A 7,515-nucleotide genomic window follows, 5' to 3' on the forward strand; every position below is an offset into this window, starting at 1 on the left:
GCATATATCCTTTCAGACTTTTACCTTTGCATACAAGAGTATATATAAAAACACATACAAATAAACACACATGGTTCTGTGTTTTACAAAAATGGAATCACATACATCTGTTATATATGATTCTTCAATTTCTTTCTTCATTCATACGTTACACAGATTTCTAAAACACAAACCTGATTACATCACTCCTCTAAGAGCTTATTTCCCATAATATAAAAATCATACACATTAACATCAAATGCAAAGCTTGTGATGATATACTTCCTGCCCATCTTTCAGTCTCATCTCTAGCCATTCCAGCATTAAAGGACTGGAATATAAACCATCTTAAATCCTTCCTGGAACAAGGCAGTTACAAACAAACAAACTAGAAACACACTGCCATTTCTAGACTGTGGCCTTTCCCATTCATGTTACACTTTGCCTGGACTTTTCCGTCTGGCAAACTTCTACTAATTCTAAAACAATCAGCTTAAAAATTATCTCCAGGAAGACTTCCTTGACTTTTCAGACATAATTACTCCTCTATTTCCCCTATACTTTACAGCTAGCTTCTTAATTGCACTTATCTCACAGTACTATAATGATTTATTAACATGTTTTGAATTCCACTTCCCCTCCCCCAACTCGATGGTGAGCTCTTTGGGTAAAAGGGATTTGTCTTATTTACCTTTGCATCCCAAGGATCTGACAGAGTGCTTATCGTGAAAAGGAGATGCTCAGTAACATATCTGTTGAGGGTTTTATGATTCTAGGAACATTTGCTGAGTACCTACTATGCACAGAACCGTATCCTAAGCATGAAAAGAAACACAAGACACAGTCTTTGCCCTAAGAAACTTACCATTTTCCTACCATTTCCCCTGGTGGGGAGGGACAGAAAACATTTAGATGGCAACATTTTCATTTCTGACATATAGGCTGTTTCAAAATTTATGGTAATTTGCCTCAAATCCATATAGGAACGAGGCATTGTATAATTAAATAAACAATAAAATAATGGGCGGTTTGTCACATAGGTTTAAGTGTAGCAGAGTCCACTAGAACCCAATTCTCTGTCCCAGCAGGAGGGCTCTCATCTGTTCCAGCCTGTAAATTAGAAAAGTGAGATGATACCATGCTTGGAAATTTTCTTTTTTTTTGAGATGGAGTCTCACTCTTTCGCCCAGGCTGGAGCGCAGTGGCGTGATCTCCACTCACTGCAACCTCTGCCTCCCGGGTTCAAGCAATTCTCCTGCTTCAGCCTCCCGAGTATCTGGGGATTACAGGCGTGCACCACCACACCTGGCTAATTTTTGTATTTTTAGTAGAGATGAAGTTTCGACATGTTGGCCAAGCTGGTCTCGAACTGACCTCAGGTGATCCACCCGCCTCGGCCTCCCAGAGTGCTGAGATTACAGGTGTGAGCCACCATGCCCAGCTGGAAATTTCCGATGCTGCTGAAGCTTGTGTCTTGGGTGTTCAACTTGGGATCAGGCTCCTCACAGCTCCCATAACTGATGTTGCTATCCTCCAAATCATGGGAAGCCTCCCCACCGTCTCCCTCATGGGACATCATGCTTTCTTCATTTTCCGTGCCCATCCTTGTGTTCTCCTGAAGCATGCTGAAGCATGAAGGGTTGTTTGGGTCTTATTCCACCATATCCCACATCAGAGTCACTTCCACTTTCACTCAGCTGGATAGCAGAGAAAGGATTGTCTCCTTCTTCGTCACTCCCAGCATCTTCCTCATCATCTTCTCCTTCAGATATAAGCAAATCCTCATACAGGACACTGGCTTCAGGTTGTTGTACAGTTCCTTCCTCTTCATCTGCAAGATCACCATCTCCCCCTTCTGGGGCTGGAGGCTTAGGTTTCCCATCCTCCTCCTCATCATCATACCCTTCAACATCCACATCAGAGTCTTCCTCACCCAGCCTACCTTGGCCCTGGCACATCTGTTTTTCTGGAGTGGCAGTGGAAATATCCAAGACAGACAAATTGCTCTCATCTTGAAATACAGAGGCATCTCGAGACGTACTGAGGGATGTGTTGGTATCATACATATCAGGAGGCTGAGATGTGTAGGGCCCTGGGGTCATTGGGTCCAGGCTTTCTAATTCTGCTTCCTCCAAAGCTGCTTCTTTAGCTGTACAAATATCCTTCTCAAGTTGAGTCAAATGCTCATCATACTCAGTAATTGTCTGGTAACAGATGTTCACAATCTCCTGAGCAGTCTTAGTGTACTGACTCTCAGGTCCATTATACTTAACACTGTTGGCAAGAATAAGGTTTACATCATCTAGAAAACTCTCCCGACTCTGATACTTGTGCTTGGAGATGTTCTTACGTATGGTCTCTAAATCCACTGGATTGACAATCATTTTGTAATAATCTGGAACAAACTTCTTATTAACTGGGTGATGAAATGGCCAAGAATCTGGAACTGCCATCATTTTCTGGGTGACAATGTTGTCCAGAATGAAAGAAAATGCCACTTGGTCATCATCATCCAGCAAGGGGTTGATAGCTTTCTCTAAGCGAGCTAATTTGTCTTCTTTCTCTTTAAGTTTTTCATCACAGAGATCCAGCATGGATTGAGAGATCTGAGTCAATGAATGTTTTGGCCCATTGTAGGTCGCACTGTTTTTCACAATTAGCTCCAGATGCTCTCTGAACTCTTCCCGAGATGGGTAGAGGCATTTACGCACATTTTCACGGAGTGTTTGTAGGTCCATTGGCCGAGTGATGATTTTGTAGTAGTCCTTTACAACCTTTGCATTGACTGGAGTGTGGAAAGGGTGTGTATTTGGAAGATCTCTCATGTCATTGATGATAGACTCCAGGATGGATGACAGCGTCACCATAGGGTCTGTGCGGCGTCGGTGGATGGACTTATGAGGTATATTCAAATAGTCACAATGAACAGTGGTTCCAACTCGCCGTTTCTTCTTTGGAGGAAGCTGCTGTTTAGGAAACTTGAGAACCAGAGATTTTCTGCGAACCTCATGCACATTCTCAATTAGCTGTTTCCCGAAGACAATTTTGGTCCCTTCAACCTTGATAAGTTCTTCATTATCATTATGAATGACTGTCTTTTCCAACTCCTCCTCCTGCTCTTCTGTCATGGCAACAGGTTTCGAAGGTGGCACATTTGTTTGATAATAGAGGGGGCAGAATTTGTTAGTCCTCATATGTCCAATGGCACCACATGCCCCACATTTCAGTTTTAGGTCAGGACGCTCTTTCATTTTCTTGGGCTTCTTCTCAGGAGGACCCTTAAGCTTCTCCTTTTCCTGGTTCCGCTTAAGCCGCCTCAGTTGCTCTTGAATCCTCCGCCGTTCTTTCCGCATCTCTTCCCGATGTTTTTCATCAAAAAGGGCAAATTTTTGAATGAATTTCTCATCTTTTGTAGTCCGTATGCGCACATAGGCATCAATGACAGCTGGTTTTCGGACTGTCTCACAGCGAACATACTCTTTCCCCTCTTCATCTCGAAATGTGCGATAAATCTTGAGACAGTGTCCAGTGGCAGAAGACTTAAGGCTAGTCATGGAAGCTGTGACATCATCTCTGTGATTGTTTCCTGATGCTGCTGAGCCTGCTACCAGTAGCATTCGCCGTAGTTCCTTCCGCTCCTGCTCCTCCCATTCACGTGACAGCTGAGAGCTGGTTTTCTTGTTCTGCAACATGTTCTCAATGTTCTTTCCCATTTCTTCAAAGTCACTATCTTCAGCTGAGATGCTGTCTGTGTCAGTTGATAAGACCTCAGTTGATGACAGAACCTTGTTCTGTAGGTCAAAGATACGCTGACATTCCTCTTTGTAACGCTCTTGATGCTCAGCCACAGAAAACCTTGATCCACGGGCAAATTTACTCATGGGCCCCTCTCCAGAATGAGCCTGTTCTGTTGACATTGTGCGCACCACATCAATCACTTCCCAGCGGGACAACTTTTTAATCTCTTCCTCAGGCACACCAAATTTACGTAGAAGTTGCTTGGCATTTTTCAGGGAAAGGCGACGAAGGTCTGCATCTGTTCCTGTCACTGTCTTCTTCACTGCCTGTGGCTCTTTATCATCCTTCTGCTGTGTTGGTTTATTTGGAATCTTCACATAGGAGAATCCTTCACCACACCCTGTGGGATCTGCCACCCCAGTCACCTCTAGGAGACACTTGCCCTTCATGGCAGCAATGAAGGCCCTTGTGGTGTTCCAAGGAGCAGCGTGAACTTCATCATCAATCTTCATCTGGAAATCTTCCTCATTTTCTTCTTCTGGGGCAAAAAAGGATTTCTCACCATAGCCAGCATCCTTCAGTCGTTGCTTTGCAGCTATCATGCTATAATAAGCACAGCACTGCTCTGGTGACACCTTAGCTCTGATCTCTTCTTCCGTTGGTAAACGAAAATCAGACTTAAGCACCCACCAGTTTGAATCCATCCCTGTGCGTTTGAAGTCAGCGCAGAGCTTTAGCCTCTTCCGGATGCTGCTTTCTGAATGGGAAGGAAAGGCTTTTTTTATATCTTCCATTCGTATCCTCCGTGGCCGATCTTTACTCTTCCAGAAAAGGCGGTAAATAAAAACCTGTAGAAAGTCTCGAATATGCATATTGGCCCTTCTGGAGTTAGGCCCAGGAACTTCAAACAAGGGACACTGCTGGCCAACCACAAAAATATCCACTAATTCCCGAATATAGTAACCCTGTCTTGTCCGAATGATCAGAAAATCAGTTTCTGGCATCTTATGAAGATACACTGGAGCACGAAAAAGGTTGTTCTCAAGTGCCTGCAGTAATTGGCCAGGATGGAGAGAGCCCAAGAAAGGAGATGTATGGCAGTAAACAGTTTCCCCATATTTACAATCTGGTGCTCCAGGATCTTTGCCAGGTTTCCGTTTATAATAGTTCTTTATCTTGGTTGCCATGCCAACCTGCATCATTAAGGGTCCATTTTCCTCACTATATTCTGCAAGAATAAGATCTCCATCTTTGCCTGTGAGATCCTGAGGTGTGCGCATAAAAAACAACTCTCCACCACCTGAGGCTTGCCTCTCTTGTTCTCTCATCTTGGCCTTTTTTTTGATGTGCTTTAGCAAAGGTTGGACTGAATGGGGACCTGGCTGAGAGAGTGCACCAAATGAGTACTTTTTCAGAGGTGGGCGATGGAACTGCCGGATTTTGATGGGCCCCATGTGGGTGGGAAAGAAGGGCTGCCATAATTCCATAGCAGGAATTGAATGCTGGATAATATTCCCTCCAAAGGTGCCCCGAAGACCCTGTTGCTTGGGGAAATAATACTCATCATTGGAGAGATTCCATGGATCTTTCACTTCTGGCTGAGACATGTTCTGCTGTGGTTCCTCCCTGATGACACCTGTTTTGCCCAAGAGAATTCGACTCTTCTTCAGAGATGATTCCTTCTTACTCTCCTTGGAGGGGGAGTTAGAGGTGGCCTCTTCCTTCTCATCAGGAATTTCCAAAATGAGGTTCTCATCATTGGGATCAAGTGCCAAAACAGGAGGTTCCAACAGCCGGGGCATGGCCTGAGCATCCCAAATGATATTGTCCTCCCAGCGTCCATACACCAGATCCTCATTGTCAATGGGAAAAATGGAGTACCAAGGTTTGTCATCATCCAGAGTGGGTGCAAAACCTTGCTGAACATTGTAAGCCATTACATTCCTAGTCTTAATAGAAGGAAGCCAGCCTGCCAGGCTTGCACCCTGAGGTTTTGTCCCTTTGTGTTTGATATCCTCCCCATCCCAGATGATAGAATCCTCCCAATGCAGCTGTGTCACCATCAGGAAGTTTTCGTCAGCCAGAAGATCAGTGCCATTGCTTTCCTCAAGTTTCCTAAATTCCTCCATCATTCTAGATTTTATCACAGGTTCATGTTGTGTCTTTCTCAGTTTGAAGCCATAGTCAAACCCACTGCCATCTTCGGAGACACCCAGCATATCATACCACAGTCGGGCAGGCCCATAACGCCACTCAGCCACTCTTGGTTTGGTATCTGTCACTTTATCTACATCTCCAGTTGATTGGGAAAATTTGGACTCCACAGGAACCATCATCGTGATTTCATCATCAGCGAGACACTGCTCTGGGGGTGGTGGTGGAGCATAGTCATAGTTCCACAAAGACTTCTGGCTGACTTCTGATTCTACTGAGCATTCCACCTCCTGGATCTGCTCTTCCTGTATCAGCTCACGATGCTTCTTCCTCTTTCTCCGAGCACTCCGCCAAACAGATGGGACATTCTTCCCTGGTCCAAAAAGATGTAGGAAGCGTAACACTTTTCCAGGTCGAAATTCTGGAAAAAGTTCGGTGACACTTGGCAACAGCTTGGTGGCATCATGCTGCATAATCCCAGCCAATGGAAGGGTCAGCTTTCCATCCTCAGATTCTGCCTGTGTTGCTTCCTGAGGTCCCATCTCAGATTCTGAATCAGAGTAACTACTGAAATCCACTTTCTCTGAGGCCAAAAAGGAAGGGGCAATGATGGAGGGCAAGATGATGTCTTCTCCACTTTCAGACACACAGGTAATAGCATCTTGGTCCTTATCCTTCTTCATTGGTCCCGGGGGTGGAGGTGGAGGAGGCATCAACTTGCAATCAATGTCTTCACAATCAGCATCATAGTCATCTTCATCATAATCCGAGTGGTAAAGGGGCTGCAAGCTCCCCATCGTCTGCTGGTGTCTTTGGCTTTCATCTTCTGCCACCTCATTGATGTCTGAATAGTCTACAGCATCTTCTGTACTCCTAATCCACCCTTCATCATTTACCAAGGCACCGCCAGTCCCAGTCAATTCTTCATTTGCCGTGAGTTCAGTGATTAGGCTGCCCAGCCCCAAAGCCCCCAAGCCTGCCAAGTGCTTCTTACACTCATCATCCAAGACGCTTTCCCCCTCCAGCTGCCCCGCTCCACTGATGTTGCCGAAAAGGATACCCGCTAAAGTAAATGGGCCACCTCCAGATGAATCTTCCTCGCTGTCCGAGTCTGACATGATGGCGGCAGTGACGGTAGCTGCTGCCCTCAGCAGCAAATCGCAGCCGGGTCGCATAAACCGGAAATAAAACAACAGTCGCCCGGAAGTGATCTACTTAGCTCCCTTACCCTACCAGCGTCTACCGGAAGCTGAATAAAGGCGGGGGGAGGGGGCAAAGGGGCGGGGGGAAAAACCCGCAAAACTTTTTTTTTTTTTTTTTTTTGAGACGGAGTCTCGCAACGTCGCCCAGGCTGGAGTGCAGTGGCGCGATCTTGGCTCACTGCAAGCTCTGCCTTCTGGGTTCACGCCATTCTCCTGCCTCAGCCTCCTGAGTAGCTGGGACTACAGGCGCTCGCCACCACGCCTGGCTAATTTTTTTTTTTTTGTATTTTCAGTAGAGACGGGGTTTCACCATGTTAGCCTCTCGATCTCCTGACCTCGTGAACCGCCTGCCTCGGCCTCCCAAAGTGCTGGGATTACAGGCGTAAGCCACCGCGCCCAGCCTGTTTGCTGGTTTTTGAGACAAAGTCTTGCTCTGTCGCCC

General features: G+C 45.8%; 1 protein-coding gene across 1 annotated transcript; it reads right to left on the reverse strand.

Annotated features, from left to right (window-relative positions):
* Nucleotides 1-920: 920 nt before the first annotated feature.
* TAF1L (TATA-box binding protein associated factor 1 like) lies at nt 921-7,136 on the reverse strand. Its single transcript, NM_153809.2, has one exon. It carries the CDS (start codon nt 7,044-7,046, stop codon nt 1,566-1,568), a length of 5,481 nt encoding a protein of 1,826 aa, NP_722516.1. The 5' UTR covers nt 7,047-7,136; the 3' UTR covers nt 921-1,565.
* Between the last annotated feature and the right edge of the window lie 379 nt (nt 7,137-7,515).

Source organism: Homo sapiens, chromosome 9 (assembly GCF_000001405.40).
Source record: "Homo sapiens chromosome 9, GRCh38.p14 Primary Assembly".
Classification (NCBI taxonomy): Eukaryota; Metazoa; Chordata; class Mammalia; order Primates; family Hominidae; genus Homo; species Homo sapiens.

Bases quoted from the DNA above. Each gene is read 5' to 3' on its own strand.
- TAF1L (NM_153809.2), bottom strand. From the start codon at position 7,046: ATGCGACCCGGCTGCGATTTGCTGCTGAGGGCAGCAGCTACCGTCACT.